The sequence below is a fragment of the Homo sapiens genome, chromosome 17, assembly GCF_000001405.40.
Source record: "Homo sapiens chromosome 17, GRCh38.p14 Primary Assembly".
In the NCBI taxonomy this organism is placed as follows: domain Eukaryota; kingdom Metazoa; phylum Chordata; class Mammalia; order Primates; family Hominidae; genus Homo; species Homo sapiens.
This window is the reverse complement of record NC_000017.11, coordinates 37,832,127-37,849,864: the sequence shown is the minus strand read 5'-3', so window position 1 is coordinate 37,849,864 and position 17,738 is coordinate 37,832,127. Positions and strand designations below refer to the sequence as shown.

At 49.0% G+C, this 17,738-nt stretch overlaps 1 pseudogene across 1 annotated transcript in view, besides 2 other annotated features; it reads left to right on the top strand.

Annotated features, from left to right (window-relative positions):
• YWHAEP7 (tyrosine 3-monooxygenase/tryptophan 5-monooxygenase activation protein epsilon pseudogene 7) overlaps window positions 1-6,916 on the top strand; it is a 41,795-nt pseudogene extending 34,879 nt beyond the window's left edge. Inside the window, exons 6-7 of the transcript NR_024178.2 lie at window positions 4,486-4,743; window positions 5,151-6,916. The product of NR_024178.2 is annotated as a tyrosine 3-monooxygenase/tryptophan 5-monooxygenase activation protein epsilon pseudogene 7 (transcript). The remainder of the gene's footprint in view (window positions 1-4,485; window positions 4,744-5,150) is intronic.
• Window positions 5,173-5,673: an enhancer, noted in NCBI's record as "H3K4me1 hESC enhancer chr17:36203816-36204316 (GRCh37/hg19 assembly coordinates)". NCBI's record gives its function as "activates a minimal SCP1, AML or CMV promoter by ChIP-STARR-seq in primed H9 embryonic stem cells {active_cell/tissue: H9 hESC(primed)}" and the evidence as "EXISTENCE:reporter gene assay evidence [ECO:0000049][PMID:30033119]".
• Window positions 6,009-6,508: an enhancer, noted in NCBI's record as "H3K4me1 hESC enhancer chr17:36202981-36203480 (GRCh37/hg19 assembly coordinates)". NCBI's record gives its function as "activates a minimal SCP1, AML or CMV promoter by ChIP-STARR-seq in primed H9 embryonic stem cells {active_cell/tissue: H9 hESC(primed)}" and the evidence as "EXISTENCE:reporter gene assay evidence [ECO:0000049][PMID:30033119]".
• Window positions 6,917-17,738: the final 10,822 nt, after the last annotated feature.

The window sequence follows — 17,738 nt, the reverse complement described above, 5'->3', positions numbered from 1 at the left end:
CACTTGTGGTCCCAGCTACTCTGGGTGGGGCGCCGAGGCAGGAGGATCGCCTGAATCCAAGGAATTCAAGCTTGAAATAAGCTATGATTGCATCACTGCACTCCAGCCTGGGCAACAGAGCAAGACCTTGTCTCAAAGAAAAGAAAAAGAACTCAGTCTAAACTCAATTTTCATCCTTCTGTGTTCCCTACACATTTGCAAGATACCACACCATTATTCATCATTAAACAGCAATGGCTGCATAACTTTCTAGCCTTCAGATGGCCATAGTGAAATTTATTCACCCTTTCTTGGTCATGTAGGTCATTTCTCTCTTTTTTTTTTTTTAAGTGTCTTGCTATTGGCTGTTTATTAGTCTTTGCTTTCTGAATCATTTCTGCTTCGGGTCCTGTGGCCCTGCTTGGCTCCTGCCCCTTCTTTCCATTGGCTGCCACCTCTCCCTTCTTCCTTTCCCACTGGGTCAGGGACTTCCTGGGAAAGACACGTCTGGCTTTGTGTGCCTTGCCCATAGCCATGGTTTTACCATGTGATGTCACCACATCACTGACACTTGACTTAAGGAGATGAGTCATAACTTGTGCTGTCATTTCTCTCCTGAGAAGCTAAATTAAGAGATACAGGAAATGCTCCTGAGCAGCCCTGGAGAGCCAAACTGAAAAGCCACTCACACTTGGGGTTGAGGCCACCGATTTTATTTTATTTTATTTTATTATTTTATTTTATTTATTTTATTTTATTTTATTTTATTTTATTTTATTTTAGTATTGTAGTGTAGTGTAGTGTAGTGTAGTGTAGTGTAGTGTATTGTAGTGTAATTTTTGAGACAGGATCTCACTCCGTTGCCCAGGCTGGAGTACAGTGGTGCGCTATCGGCTCACTGCAGCCTCTGTCCCCCAGACTCAAGCGGTCCTCCTACCTCAGCCTCCTGAGTAGCTGGTACCAAAGGTGGATGCCACCATACCCGGCTAGTTTTTTGTATTTTTCGTAGAGACGCGGTTTTGCCGTATTGCCCAGGCTGATCGTGAACTCCTGGGCTCAACTGATCCACCTGCTTCAGTCTCCCAAAGTGCTGGAATCAAAGATGTCAGCTATTGTGACCGGAGGCTACCATTTTGCATCACCCATGTACTGATGGATCAGCCTAGAAAGTGTGTTGTGACAACTCAAGCGTCAGTTACAGATTAATGGGTAAAGAAATGGTGGTAGAGACATACAAGACAATAACATTCAACCCCAAAAAAAGAAGGGAATCTTGCCTTTTGCAGCTACATGGATGGACCTGGAGGACATTATGCCAAGTGCAATAAGCCAGGCACAGAAGGACAAATACTGCATGGTTCCTTTTTTTCTTTTTTTGAGACGGAGTCTCGCTCTGTCGCCCAGGCTGGAGTGCAGTGGCGCGATCTTGGCTCACTGCAAGCTCCGCCTCCCCGGTTCACGCCATTCTCCTGCCTCAGCCTCTTGAGTAGCTGGGACTTCAGGTGCCCGCCACCACGTCCGGCTAATTTTTTGTATTTTTAGTAGAGATGGGGTTTCATCGTGTTAGCCAAGATGGTCTTGATCTCCTGACCTCGTGATCTGCCCACCTCGGCCTCCCAATCACAAAGTGCTAGGATTACAGGCGTGAGCCACCGCGCCCGGCCGCATGGTTCCATTTTTATGAGGTATCTACAACAGTGAAACTCACAGAAGCAGTGTATACAATAGTGGTTAGCAGGGGCTGGAGGGTGGGCAAAACGGGGAGTTTTTCCATGGGTGTAAAGTTTCAGTTATGCTAGAGGAATACGTTCTAGAGATCTGCTGTACAACACAGGGCCTATGAATAACAATGCTGTACATTTCAAAATCTGTTAAGTGGGTAGGTCTCTTGTTGTGTTGTTACCACACACGGGAAAACCCAAAACAAAACCAAAACCAAAGAGACACAAGGAAACTTGGGGAGGTGTTGGCTATGTCTATTCCCTCAGGGTAGTGACAGTATCATGGGTGTTTGCAAATGTCCAGACTTACCAAATTGTACACATTAACCACGTGCAGTTCTGTGCATATCAGTTATTCCTCAATAAGGCTGTTTCTTTTTTCTGTTTTTGAGACGGCGTCTCATTCTATCTCCCAGGCTGGAGTGCAGTGGTGCGATCATAGCTCGTTGCAGCCTTGAATTCCCAGGCTCAAGTGATCCTCCCGCCTCAGCCTTCAGAGTAGCTGGGACCACAGGCATGTGCTACCAGGCTTTGCTAATTTCTATTTTTTTAATTTTTTGTAGAGATGCAACCTCGATATGTTGCCCAGGCTCTTCTTGAACTCCTGGGCTCAAATTATTCTCCTGTCTTGGCCTCTTAAAGTGCTGGGATTATAGGCGTGAGCCACTGCGCCTGGCCTCCTCTCTCCCTTTTTCTGTTCAGGATAAGCCAGTGGTCCCTGGGGTCCTTTCTCATCTGTACCCCAGGAGTCTTCTGGAGCTGAACCGAGGCTCTTGCACACGCACATCTGGGCTTGGACCCAACATCATCAGAACTGACGCTCTAGACACATGGCTTCGACTCCTTTCATAAAACGTCCACATCAGCAGCTTTTACCCATTTGTTCAACAAATACTCATTAGCAGGCTCCTGTTCCCTCAGCCTTGGTGTAGGCCCTGGGGTTACTGGGGGTAATGGTGGGTATGGCCCCTACTCTCATGAAGGTTAGTGGTGAGAGAAAGGAAGAAATAACTACACAAGATGCTTTTGGTGATGAACGCCCTGAAGAACAGAAAGCAGGGAGATGTGGAAGTGCCTGGGGTTGGCAGGGCAGGCCTCACAGGGGCACTTGAGTTGAGACCTGGACGATAGATCACGTCAGAGTACCAAGCGGGGCTGTTTGTCACAAACAACAGTATCCCACTCTGGTTAACATAAGCAGAAAAGGAATGCATGGGAAGGGGTGTCAGGTGGTTCAGAGAATGAGCTGGAGGCCTGGAGAGTTGGGCCAGCACACAGGGGCTTCCTAAGGGAGTCGGCAGCCAGAACCTTCAGCGGAGTCATGCTGCAGAGGGATCTGGTGGGGACCGAGCTGCCGCCACCCTGGATACTGGATGCCATTTGGGCCTTGAAGGCCAGACCCTCTGGCAGGCCCCCAACAGAGGGACCTTCAACCTGGGCCTGCTGACCTGCCCCAGATGACAGGTTTGTCTTCTACTGGGCGTCTTTTAGAACTCAAGACGGCTTCCCATCTCACGCATAGTGAAAGCAACAGTCTTTATAAAGTTCTACATGTAGCTGGTGCAGTGGTTCACGCCTGTAATCCCAGCACTCAGCACTTTAGGAGGCTGTGGTGGGATTGCACGAGCCCAGGAGTTCAAGGCCAGCCTGGGTAACATAGCAAAACCCCATCTCTGCGAAATAAAAATTAAAAGAATAGCCAGGCATGATGACACATGCCTAGTCTCATCTACTCAGGAGGCTAAAGCAGGAGGTCAAGGCCGCAGTGAGCCATGATCACACCACTGCACTCCAGCCTGGGAGATACAATGAGAACCTGTCTCAAAAAAAAAAAAAAGTTTCTACATGACTTGGGTCCGATCCTCTGCCCCCATCCATTGTTCTTCCCTTGCCCCATCCTGCTCTGGCCACATTGGCCACTTTGCTTTTCCTCAGTCATGCCAAGCATGGCTCTGCCTTCAGAACCTTTTCCCCAGGTGTCCCCATTGCTCCCTTCCGCCCCTCCAAGTCTTAGCTCAACACTTACCTTGAGGCCCGCCCGACCTGCCTATTAAGCATAACCTTGCCTGCCCACCCAGTTCCTTTATGCTCATAGTTTTTGCTACTGGTCACCTTCTAACATACCATTATTGTGTCTTCATAGATGATCTCCCTGATGACTGTCTCTCAGGGGCCCAGGCAGGGACTGACGTTAGAGTCAATACTCCACAGCTGTTTGTTGAATGAGTAGGTAACAGCATGGCTGGCTGGTCCTGGTGCAGAAAGTCTTGGGAGGCCTCAGTTTGCGTCGTGCTTCTGTCATCAGCCAGCTGTGTGATTCTGCACAAGTATTTTAACCTCTCTGGGCCTCAGTTTCCCCATCTGTAACTTGGGGGCCTACCTCAAATGGTTCCTGGTGAAGAGTAACAAGACCATACCCTAAGTTCCAGTTGCCTTTTCCTCTGCCTTTCCACCTTCCCCTCCAGCCCCTCCAAGTCTCTTTTGTTAAGACAGGGTCTCACTCTGTCACCCAGGCTGGAATGCAGTGATCTCGGTTCACTGCAGCCTCTATCTCCCAGGCTCAAGTGAAACCCACCACAGCCTCCCAAAGTGCTGAGTGCTGGGATTACAGGTGTGAAACACTGCACCAGCTACATGTAGAACTTGATAAAGACTGGCTTTCACCGTGTATGAGATGGGGAGCCATCTTCAGTTCTAATGCAGCTGGGACTACAGGTGCGTGCCACCACACCCGGCTAATTGGTTTTGTGTTTTTTTTTGTTTGTTTTCTGTTTTTTTTGTACAGACGGGTTTCTCCATGTTGGCCAGGCTGGGCTCGAACTCCTGGTTTCAAGTGAACCTCCCAACTTGGCTTCCCAAAGTGCTGAGATTACAGGCGTGAGCCACCATCCCCGCCCCCTCAAAATCTGTTAGGACGACAGTCTCGCCAAGGCAATGCAGTCGCAATATGCCGTTTCCATTGCAATCACAATATGACATTTCCATTTACTTTGGATTATACGTCATTATGAATATTAACAAGACTTAAAAAGGACACCTTCGGGTATGTCAGATGAAAGTACAAAAATTGCGTTGTGGGGCTGCAGTTTGAGGACAGTGTCTGCAGCCGTCACGTGGTAGCAAAACGGTGTTAAGCATTGCAGGAGAGTCTGCATCTACGACAGCCAGAGTCCATACGTCGGGAGGTTTATTTGGTTTGAGAGGGAACAACAGGCAGGATGGGCACCACCCGGGGCTGGACAGTCAGGCGGGCTAGGGTGCGGTTCCTCGCACTCGCCACTAGAGGTGAGGCGTTTACCGCTTCAGGGCTGGAAGATGGGCCCTCGGGGACTGGCTACTGCTGGCCCGGGGCGGAAACCTGGGCGGGGGTTGGATGCGACGCCTCAGGCGGCCCCCCTGGTTACTGACACCCGACTTTGGCATGACTTTATTTGTTTTTCCCCCCATCAGATTTCCTGTCTTTGTGGGCTGATGGACTAGAGGAAAGATGCCTGTTGACGGTCAAAGGCAGAGCCTCTTCGGCAGCTTCTTAAAGCGCCTTCTTTAACAGAGAAACAATCTGCATGGGGTCTAGAACGGTTCTGAAATCCTGCTGAAGGTTTCGAAACTTCCTGGGGGGGGTCTCCTGCCAGAGCGCCTACGCTGCCTCTGGGCTGGCTGGCCAGTGAGCCCCGTCTCACAGCCTGACAGTCCCCACATCAGCCCGGACCGTCTTTCGGGACCAGCCCCATTTGCACAGCCTGAGCTGTAGAGGGCCCTGGAGTTCGGAGTTCTTGTCCCAACTGTGCCCCTGCAGGCCTGTTCCACCCACTGAGGCTCAGTTTCCCCATGTGCCTAATGAGGAAGTCATGCTAGGTGGGGCTTACAGCCTCTTGCAGCTTTGCCATTGATCACTTCCGTGTCTTCAGAGAGGCTGCCAAGTCTCCTCTGAATGAAGTTCCCCAAAAAGCAAACGTAAGAAAATACACAGAGCTTACCCAGACACCAGGCCCTTTAGAAATAGACCATTTCTTACCTTAGGCCCCCAGAAGGTCCTCATTCTAGCTTTGTGGAGAAAAGAAGAGTCTTTGCCTCAGCCCCCAGAGGTTGGGGTGGGGTGGCTGAATTTTGAGGCTGGGATTGGCAACTCTGGTGAAGCCCAAAGTGACACGGATGGTTTCAAAGCCACCTAGAGGATAAGGTGTCAGGACAGTGACAAGACCCCAGGTCCCTATCACACACCAGAGCTCACTGAGCCTCCACCTGGGGTCTCTGCTGAATCTCTGACAGGCTAGGAGAGAAGGGACTGGGGTTACTGACCCCCAGAAAGTCAGAGAAAGTGGCAGTTGGAGGACCTGGGTTTGAGTCCTGGATCACCCCTTCCCCGCCTTGGCAAACTACTCAGACTCTGGAAACCTGTTTCACCTGTAAGATGGGGATGACAATCAAACCCACCTTGCAGGGCCGTGAAGATGCTTAAGACAAGTGCATGCAAAAACTTTCACACACACAAAGCCTTCCTAAAGATGGGGAGACAAGGCCTCATGAGCAGCAGGTGGCCAGGCACTATGTGGGGGCTGGAGTCCTGTTTTCCCTTCAACCTGGGAAAGGACTGATGGGCACTTAGTAGGTTTTGAATCATGACCCTGGACCTCAGGTGGCGGTATGCTTTGTGTCTGCAGCAGAAGGCCCCAGCCTCGTGCCTGTGAGTCCCACTACCGATGTTGAAGGGGTGGACAGCAGGCGGGTGAGCCCCAGGCTGGCAGCTAGCAAGACCTCTCACGTGTGAGCCCAGCACCCCACTTCCCCTGAAATGTGATGTCCAGTGCTCCAGGCTGGGGGCCGTGGATCCTGATTCCAGCTGTGTGAGGGCTGGAAGGCCCTGGGCAGGTCACCTGACCTCTCTGGGCCTATTTCCATCACACACTTGAGGGGCTGAGCACACTGGACTCTATAGCTGTACAACTCCTTGGCTCTGCTTTTGTTCCTGAGGGCCCCTTAGTAGGCAGGGAAAGTGAGGGCCTCAGGGCTGGGCCCCAAGACTCAGATGCTCTCAACCCCTTCCTGGAGTGCCTAACTCAGGGGAGCAGACAGGCCCAGCAGGCAGGGTGCCTCTCTTGCTCAACTCCTGGAGCTATATGTTTTTTTAGCTTACTATTTTACTTAAGAATAGATCATGAGCATTGACTATTCTAAAACATGACTTTCATGACTATATAAAAGTCCATTGTATCAATATACAATCACTTAACCAATTCTTTATTGAAATGGTGGTGTATACATACAAGAAAATACCATTCAGCCCTAAAAAAGAAGGGAATCTTGCCATTTGCAACCACATGGATGGACCTGGAGGACATTATGCTAAGTGAAATAAGCCAGGCACTTGTTTTCCAATTTCTGGTTGATTGATGTGTAACTCTTTAGACGTTGAATCTTATTTGGACATGGGATGTGAGGCACAGACGGGAACTTTATGCCTTTCCAAGCCCTTAGTCAATCATCCCTGCACCATTGATTTAATAATCAAGACATCCTCTCCTCACGGCTTTGAAATGCCTCGGTGCCCATGTACTTCATTTGTACATTCCTGCGGGTCTGTGTGTGGGCTCCCTTGTCTACTCATCCCACTGCTGTTCTATTCTCGTGCTAGTCCCAAACCTCTTTGACTTTGTGGCAGAAAGTTCAGTGGCCGGATGACCAACCACGCAAGGCTGGTTCTGCTTTGGTTCCTCTACTGGATAGGGCTTGACCCCTGCTTTTGCTTGGGAATGTCAACTGCAGCCAGTTGTTACTGAACATTTAGTATTGACATGGAAAACCAGCACTTTCTATTTAAGAGGGAAAAACTGTTGTGATGATTGTGGAACTAGCTCTTCTAACTACAGTCGTCATCCTTAAGAACGCCCATCACCACCAATGTCCAAGAGACTGGGAAATCTCAAGAACTCTGGTGACACTGACTTCCTGCAGTTCTGTAAAATGATCCCAAACTACTACTCTTCTGCCTCTAACAGCTCTCCTTCTTGTCATATTCTGTCCTGATCACCCATGGGTTGCAAACTCCAATAATTAAGCTTGGTGATGGTATTGGTTGCTGCTGTGTACTGACTGCCTCTTTGTGCCAGGCTCTGCTAGACAGTGTATTTAACCTCGAATCCTTACCACAACTTTGTTATGTAGCTATGATGATCCTTAACATTTTGAGATGAGAGTTTTTTAGCAGTGAATAATAATAGACTGTTTATGAAACAAGGTGGATAGACGTGTATCGGAAACTCGAGGAAGGATCCTCTGGGAAAAGCATCTTAGTAAAGCCCCCAAGCCTCAGTGCATGGGAGGAAGAAGGGGAAATGAAAGTCAGGTTGCAAAGTGTTATCAAGGAATGAGGATGAAGAGGGAGCGGGAGTAGAGAAAGGCAGGGGGCCTCTGGCGGAGCAAGGTTTTGGAGGGGTAGAAAGGGAGTAGATGAAGAGTTGAAGTGGAGGCATTTGTTCAGAGGAAGGGGATATCTGCTCCTCTGAGTTATCATAAAAGGAGGAGAAGCTATATAAAGATGCAGAGAAATGTGGAGGTTAAGCCAAGTGTCTGGTCACAGATGTTTTGTGGGAAAGGAGAGAGAAGTCATTGGATAGAGTTGTTGAGCTCCTTATTGGGATGAAGCTCATAATGGTAGCTGGCTTGAAATTGCACTCTGTATTGACTGCTTTCACTTCCCTACCTGACTTCTCTCTCTGCCAGTGTTTCCGGGGATCACCTCCCAAATAAGCTGCTTGCCTGCCTGACTGCCTGCCTGCCTTCCTTCTTTCCTTCCTTCCTTCCTTCCTTTCTTCCTTCCTTCCTTTTTCTTTCTTTCTTTTTTTGACATAGTCTTGCACTGTTGCCTGGGCTGGAGTGCACTGATGCAATCTTGGCTCACTGCAACCTCCACCTCTCAGGTTCAAGCAATTCTCCTAAAGCAAAACCAAAATTTTGAAAAAAAATTAGGCTGGCGCGGCGGCTCACGCCTGTAATCCCAGCACTTTGGGAAGCCAAGGCAGGCGGATCACAGGGTCAGGAGATCAAGACCATCCTGGCTAACATGGTGAAACCCCGTCTCTACTAAAAATACAGAAAAATTAGCCGGGCATGGTGGTGGGCACCTGTAGTCCCAGCTACTCGGGAGGCTGAGGCAGGAGAATGGCTTGAACCCGGGAGGTGGAGCTTACAGTTAGCCGCGATCATGCCACTGCACTTCAGCCTGGGGGTCAGAGCGAGACTCCATCTCAAAAAAAAAAAAAAAAGTTAGGATCCTGTCTTATTTACCTGTCTCTCTACTTAGTACTGGAGAAGGCACATGGCAAGCTCTCTGTAAGGCATTAAATATCCCCATTTTACAGATCAGCAAACTGAGGCCTACAGAGGGAAAAATGACTCACCCCAATGACACTGCTAGTCCGGGGCGGGGCAGAATGGAATTAAGGATTTGGAGACTCTCTTGTCCGGTGCTGTTCCCTGCACTGCCCTGTTACTGTACAGTTACAGAAGCCGGATTTAGGAGAAATCAAAACACAAAGAGTCATTATTTTCAAGTTTGTTATTTTTTACTATGCTTGACTCTGGTCTTTCCAAACATGATTTTCTTGAAAATTCAGGACCTGAGAGGAAAACCTTCACACAGCTTTGCTCTCAAACGGGTCAGAAAGAGCAACTGGCACTTTGGGAGGCCAGGGCAGGTGGATCACTTGAGGGCAGGAGCTCAAGACCAGCCTGGCCAACTTGAACTCTACTAAAAATACAAAAAATTATCTGGGCATGGTGGTGGGCACCTGTAATACCACTTACTCAGGAGGCTGAGGCAGGAGAATCACTTGGACCCAGGAGGCAAAGGTTGCAGTGAGCCAAGATCGGGCCATTGCACTCCAGCCTGGCGACAGAGAGAGACTCTGTCTAAAAAAAACCAGGAGGCCGGGCGTGGTGGCTCACACCTGTAATCCCAGCACTTTTGGAGGCCGAGGCAGGCGGATCATAAGGTCAGAAGATTGAGACCATCCTGGCTAACACGGTGAAACCCCGTCTGTACTAAAAACACAAAAAATTAGCCGGGCGTGGTGGCGGGCGCCTGTAGTCCCAGCTACTCAGGAGGCTGAGGCAGGAGAATGGTGTGAACCAGAGAGGTGAAGTTTGCAGTGAGCCGAGATTGCACCACTGCACTCCAGCCTGGGCGACAGAGCGAGACTCCGTCTCAAAAACAAAAAACAAAAAACAGGAGCAACTGGGGCGTTAGAGCTGAAAGCAGCCTCTGGGATCATCTAGTCCACCCACCCCACTGCCTCCTCGAGAGGGGAGGTGACTCTTAGACAGTCACATGGGGGGCAGCCGAGCTGGACTCCTTTTACAGTGCTCCATTCATTCACAGGAAGTCAGGTGGCATCGGCATGGGCTGAGCAGCAGAATGGAGCCTGGGTATTTACAGGACAGATGCTCACAGAAGCCTCCGGCACTGGCAGTCAAGCCCTGCAACCTCCAACAGGTCCCCACAGAGACAGCAAAGCCCATGCAGGGAGGGAGGCAAAGCTTAGGGGGCAAGACAGGTGGGCCTTGCCCCACCCGAAGGACCTTTCTTGTCCATGCTCTTTCCCGACTGCTGCTATGCCGTGCTCTTTACAGCTTTGTCAAGAGGAGGGCAGTTACCATCTGAGCCTAGAGATTTATGGCTGAAGAAGGAACCAGGGATGTCCCACCTTATTCAGCCCTTTGAAAGTGGATTTACAGGATTGATCTCTGGGCTGGGGCACTTTGCCTTATCTTCAGGAAGGACTGTCCCACCCAGTTCTGCTTTGCTGCTGACACCTGCTGGGCCCCATGGCTGGAGAAATGAAACACACTGAGCCTGAGACTGGGAAATGCAGGTAGATGTCCCCACGGGAGGGAGACGTGCATGGGTCTCGCTGGTCCAGGTCGGGGGTTGAGCAGGCCCTGCTGAGTGCCCCCAGGGTTATTGCTAGGACTCAGGAGAGCACAGTTGGGCAGCTGGTAGGATTGCACCTGGTCACGGCTCCTACATAGGCCAGGTTCATTCACTCACCTCTTCATTCATCACACCACCCAACATACATATGCCAAAAAAAAGAAAGAACCCATCACCTACCATGAGTCAGGCAGCTACAGGCTGAGGATCCAGAGAAGAGTGATATCCCAGCCCTGGCCTTGAGGCGCTCCTGGACTAGAGGCCAGTGAACACAGTTACAGCCCGCTGAGGGAGAGCAGTCAGGGAAGACTTCCTAGAGGAGGATGAAAGATGGGAACAGGCACTTCAGGAAGAGGGACCAGTCTGTCCCAAGGCGTGGAGGTGTGGATGGGCAGGCACATGGAGCTCAGCGTGGCATGTGCAGCGTGGGTCAGGGAGAGGAAGGAGGCAAGACGGGTGGCAGTGGACACAGGTCACCGAGATGCATGTGCATCCTGGGGAGCTTGGATTTTATTGTGGAGACCGTGGAGAGCCACACAGGGGTTTTAAGAAGAATCCAGATCACACAATCAGATTTGCTGTCATGGAGGCACTTGGGTGGCAGGTGATAAAATGTGGATCAGAAGGAAGCGGGTGCTTGGCTGTGCGTCGTAATCACCCGGGGAGCTCTGGGAAGCACTGATGCCTGGGTCCCACCTCCAGAGGCAACCCTGAATGGGCCGGGGTGTGGCCTCAGCATCAAGAAGGGGAAACTCCTTCCCCTGTGCAGGCGAGGGTGACCAAGTGGAGAGGGATCCCCATTAGCAGGCACTGTAGCCTTCCAGGTATGAACTGAAGAGGTGGTTTCCGTGCAGATGCAAGTGAGCACAGATTCAGGAGGGAGAAACACAGCCCATACTTATGAGTTGGATGTGGATTCATAGAGAAAACGAAAAAAAAAAAAGTGGCAGGTCCTCAAAAGGTTACACACAGAGTAACCAGATGATCCAGCAGCCCCACTCCCAGGTTCATGCCCAGGAGAAATGAAAGCATATGTCCACCCAAGAACATGGACAAGCATGTTCAGAGCAGCGGTTTTTTTTCTTTTCTTTTCTTTTTTTTTTTTTTGAGGCAGGGGGACAGAGTCTGGCTCTGTCACCCAGGCTGGAGTTCAGTGGTCTGATCTCCGCTCACTGCAACCTCAAGTGATTCTTGTGCCTCAGCCTCCTGAGTAGCTGGAATTACAGGCACGCACCACCACACCCAGCTAATTTTTGTATTTCTAGTAAAGACAGGGTTTCACCATGTTAGCCAGGCTGGTCTTGAACTTCTGGCTTCAAGTGATCCGCCCACCTCAGACTCCCAAAGTTCTGGGATTACAGGTGTGAGCCACTGCGCCCAGCCCAAAGCAGCATTTTTATAGTAGCCCCAAACTGGAAGTAACCCAAATGCCCATCAAGTGATACATGGATAAACAGAATGCTGTGCCTGTATGCAATGGAATAGTATTTGGCTATAAAAATAATGCAATACTAATATAGGCAAAAACATGGATGAACCTGGAACACAGTGTGCTAAGTCAAAGAAGCCAGTGAAGAATGTTGTATGAGTCCATTGACATGAAATGTCCAGAACAGGAGAACCCATGGAGTCAGCACATAGATCAGTAGTTGCCAGAGATGAGGAGAAATGGCGGTGGGGGTGGGGGAGCTGGAGGGCGATGTTTAAGGAATATGGGGTTTCTTCGAGGATAATGAAAATATTTGGGCTGGGCACAATGGCTCGTGCCTGTAATCCTAGCACTTTGGGAGGCCGAGGCAGGCAGATCACCTGAGCTCAGGAGTTAGAGACCAGCCTAGCTAACATAGTGAAATCCCATCTCTACTGAAAATACAAAAAATTAGCTGGGTGTAGTTGCATGTGTCTGTAATCCCAGCTACTCAGGAGGCTGAGGCAGGAGAATCGTTTGAGCCTGAGAGGCGGAGGTTGCAGTGAGCCGAGATTGCGCCAGTGCACTGCAGCCTGGGTGACAGAGCAAGAAGCTGTCTCAAAAAAAAAAAAAAAAAAAGAAAGAAAGAAAATATTCAAAGATTGTTGCAGTGTTGTTTGCGTAACTATGATATACCAAAACCCATTGAATTGTACTCTTTAAATGGATAAATTCTATTTTATGTGAATTATATCTCAATAAAGCTGTGAAAGAGAGAAGCTGGGTGCAATGGTGCCTACCTATAGTCCCAGCTACTTGGGAGGCTGAGGTGGGAGGATCGCCCGAGCCCAGGAGTTCAAGTCCAGCCTAGGCAACATAGTGAGAAGTGAGACCCCATCTCAAAAAATAAAAAAGACAGAGAAAGGGAAGACTCAAGTTTGGGTTCTGACACTAGGATGTCAGCTAAGTGGTGGTTACATAGATCAGTTACAAAATAGAGGTAAGATGAGCAAGTTGGGGACAGTATGATACTGATTTATTCACTTATTCAGCAAATATTTTTTGAGCACTAGGCAGTGGGAAATATCAGTGAACAAAACAAAAATATCCCTTTCCTGTAGCTCTTACACTCTAGTGGGAAGAGAAAATTATACAATAAATAAACCCATTTGTAAGGTGATCAGTGCAATGGAAAAACCTATAGCAAGCAAGAAGGATGGCATGCCTGGAAGGGCTGCGGCTTTAAAAGGGGTGGGCAGGCATGGCCTTGCAGGAAAGGTGACATGTGAGCAGAGACTTGAAGGCAGCAAGGGATGAACTTGGGTGACTGAGGGAAGAGCATTCCAAGCAGAGGGAACGTTGGTGCGAGGCTCTGAGGCAGGCGTAGTGGAGGCACGGTGGGAGGCAGGGCAGACAAGCAAGGCAGGAAAGAGGAGAAGGGGTGGAGGAAAGGGAGAGAGGGCGATGATAAGTCGGGGCTCAGCAGGTTGGGAAGTGGAACCCTGCAGGCCGTGTCCTCCACCCGGAGGGTATGCATCTTACTCTGAGTGATGTGGGAGCCATGGGGGATTGTGAGCAGAGCGGTACCATGGCCTGACCTACCAGGTAAAGTCTCCCTCTAGATCAGGATTTCTCAACCCGGCACTAGTGACACCTGGGGCAGGATCATTCCTTGTAATGGAGACTGTCCTATGCATTGTGGGATGTTCAGCAGCACCCCCGACCTCTGTCTACAAGACTCCACGAAGGACCATCTGTCTTAGTTGTGACAAACAAAAATATCCCCAGACCCTGCCAAATGTAACCTGGGGGGCAAAAACACCCACATTTGAGAACCATGGTTCTAGGATATAGGAGTGTGTACACAGGCAGCTCAGGTTTACACAGGCTGGATTTGAGGTGCCTGTGAGACCTGCGCGCTGAGATTCCTTTGAGCAGGCAGACAGGAGGGGCTGGAGCCCAGGAGAAAAGTCTGGGCAGCTTTTGTTGTCTTCAGGCTCAGCGGCTGTTAGAAGGAATTTCGCAGAAAAAAAGAGTGATACCCAAAGAATCTATTTCATTTAATTTAACGTTTTGAGCAAGGATTATGCTAAAGTCACCAGGCAAGAGACCAAGATAAGCCCGCCTCACAAACACAGAAACCTCAGATCCAAGGCAGCTATGTAAGGTACAGAACGTTCCAGACTGTAGAAAAGAGAGGGTTAATCCAACTTGATCAGGAGAGAAATGCCATTATCCACTGAAATATTTCTTGACTATCTCCTATATGCTAGTGAAACTCACTAGCATTATCTCATTTAATCTTTGAAAAACTAAATAAAAGTGTGAAGTAAATATTTTCCCCTCCCTCTTTTTTTAAAGATTAGAAAACGGGCTCAAAAGGACCCACATACTCAGAGTCTACCCTGTCAATGACAGAGTGACTCAACCTGGCACTAGCGACATTTGGGGCAGGATCATTCCTTGTTACAGGCTGTTTAATGCCAAAGCCCAATACTGGCTTCTGGAAGCTTCTAGAAGGTGGGGCTGGAACTTCTCATTGAAGAGGTTGACAGGCAGTATTGCGGGGAAATGGGAGAGCGAAACATACCAGGCAAAGGGAACTGCTTGGGCATGGCTTCGGCAGAGAACAAGGTACAGAGATTTGAGGACAGGGTGATTTCTTGGAACACAGAGCTTGGTTCAGTAGAAAGAGCATGGGAAAGCCAGGATGTGGCCAGTTGAAAGGGAGGGGCTTTGACCATGTGGTGAGCCATTTTGCATTTTACTCTATTGGCATCTAGGAGACAAATAATGAGAACTCTGACTTGGGAAAAATGTTAAGGATCAATTTATCTCAAATATCACACATAGCTCTTAAGTCTGGGGACCCTCTATTCCCCATCTTACCTAAAAGGCACAAACACACCTCTCCAAGTCAGGTATAAGACCCCCAACAATAGTTGCCCAGTCAAAAAATGCATCCTCAGAGTTGACGACTACTATAATAAATCTGGGGACAGTTTCTGAAAACTTGTTTCCCTAAAACGTTTTCATCAAACTATATTCAGTGACATGTAACGATAATCATCAAGACTAAATCACATCCCAGGAGGTATCTGAGTGCAACCGTGAGGTGCTCCTTCATGTCTGAAGGTGCATTTATAACAATCTGGAAAACAGTCTAGAAGATCTTCTTGGAAGTTAGACCTTCAACTTTATCTGAGTTTTGGTGGCAAATTAAGAAGAGCTCTTATTGTGCAGTTTCTGAGGTTCTTCAAAAGAGTGACTTTCTCTGTTTCCCCAGAAAGACTACAATGTGTGGTGTGTGTGTGTGTAGGTGCATGTGCACATATGTGGGTGGGTGTGAATGTGCCTATATGTGTGTGTGGATGGAGTACGTATACATGCTGTGAGTGTGTGTGTGGATGCGGATTGTGAGTGTGGGTGGGAGATTGTATGTGAGTGCATGTGAGTGTGTGTGTGGATGGAGTAGATATACATGCATGTGAGTGTGTGTGTGGATGTGGATGTGTGTGGGTGGGAGTTTGTGTGTGAGTGCATGTGAGTGAGTGTGTGTGGTGAGTGTATGGAATGGGTTAGCTCATGCACAGAGCATTTCTTAGCCTACTTAACAGCTTAGGAGCCACCTCTTCCAGGAAGCCTTCCTTAACCTGTTTTTCGTCCTGCCCCTCGGGACCCAGGTGACACTGGGCATGCAGTTGCTCTATTGCTGCAGGTTTGCCCCCGACTCATCTCATCTCCAAACACAGACACATGCAAGAATGTGACCCTCCCTTCCCAATACAACACTAGGACATTTTATTCTCTTTGTATTCCTGATATCTGGCACACGGTAGGTCATCAATAAATAATAAATTGAATTAAACCTTGCAAAGGCCTCCAAATATCAGAATTGGTAAGCTCTAAAGGCTCTGTTTATTCTTGCAGATTCCTTCTCAGGTTTCAGCAGATTATAGAGAAAATCTCTCCCGCCAGTGCTAGTGTCAGTGGGACAGTAAAGTGAAACAGAAACACCACCATCCAATACCCCCTCCCCTTCAGTCCCTCCAAATTGAGCTGCTGCTGCTAGGGGAACCAGAGCTAAGCTTCTGCAGAGGCCTGTGCCCATGTCACTCACCCCAGCTCCGCAGTCCTACCTGGCATGAGTCTTCCCATAACTATACCTTGGCTTGCTGACTGCTCTGTGGGGACACCGAGCCTCATTGCACCACGGGATGGGGCAGTTAGAGCAGGGCTTCTTACACTTTAACATGTGCATGATCACCTGCTTAGCATGCAGATGCTGATCCAGTAGGTCTGGGATGGGGCTTGAGATTCTGCACATCTAACATGCTCCCAGGTCCTGCCCATGTTGCTGGCCTGTGGCCCATCCTTCCACCGGAAGTGCTTAGAAGGCTTTAGTCTTCTCGCGGCTGTTCAAGAGACCATGCGGTGGAAATCGGGTGCTGAGTCATTTGGTCACTGCCGCTTCTTGTTAAGTGAACTTCTATCATTTCACATGCATAGAAGTTTTGACAAGCCCTTGAGTCTTGTTTCTTTCTGCACCCCAGTAAAAAAGAAAGAACAGGCCGGGCATGGTGGCTCACACCTGCAATTCCAGCACATTGGGAGGCCAAGGTGGGCAGATCACGAGGTCAGGAGATCGAGACCATCCTGGCTAACACAGTGAAACCCCGTCTCTACTAAAAAGACAAAAAATTAGCTGGGTGTGGTGGCAGGCGCCTGTAGTCCCAGCTACTCGGGAGGCTGAGGCGGGAGAATCACTTGAACCTGGGAGGCGGAGCTTGCAGTGAGCCGAGATCGCACCACTGCACTCCAGCCTGGGTGACAGAGCGAGACTCCGTCTCAACAACAACAACAACAACAACAAAAGACAACCAAAAACAAAAAACAAACAAAAAACTGATCCTATACTTACTGCTCCCAGTCTACTAAAGCAGAAAGAAAACTGGACCCATGACCTTCAGCAGGAGGGACCTCATATGACTCATTCAATCATATACAGATCCTCTCTATCTTCTAGTGCTCCTGGTCCAGCCACCTCATTTTATAGAAGTGACTTGGTCCCAGAGAGGAAGCGTGACTTGCTTCAGATCACTCAGCTCGTAGATGGCAGTGTTAGGCTTAGAATGCAAGTAAAACCCAAGACTATTACTCATTAAAAAACAAAATTATTTTTCAATAAAATTCACTTTTCAGTCCAGACACAGTGGCTGACGCCTATAATCCCGGCACATTGGGAGGCCAAGGCAGGCAGATCACTTGAGCCCAGGAGTTGAAGACCAGCCTGGGCAATGTGATGAAAACCCATCTCTACAAAATATACAAAAATGAGCCAGGAGTGGTGGCACACACCTGTGGTCCCAGCTACTCAGGAGGCTGCGGTGGGAGGATCACTCGAGCCCAGGAGGTCAAGGCTGCAGTGAGCCATATTCCCGCTACTGCACTCTAGCCTGGATGACAGAGAGAGATCCTGTCTCAAAAACATAAAATAAAATTCACTTTTCAATCCCATAATTATTCATCTCCATCACTTCCTTGCATATCCTCAACTCTCTCTTCCTTCACTTCACGCTGCTTTGCCGAAACCACAGCCCTGGTTAAATCCAACTCTGCTTATTTGGCACCTGATCCTGTGTAGCTGAACAAAATTTGTGAAGAAAGCACAACCATACCAGCTGCTCTTGCATTCACATTC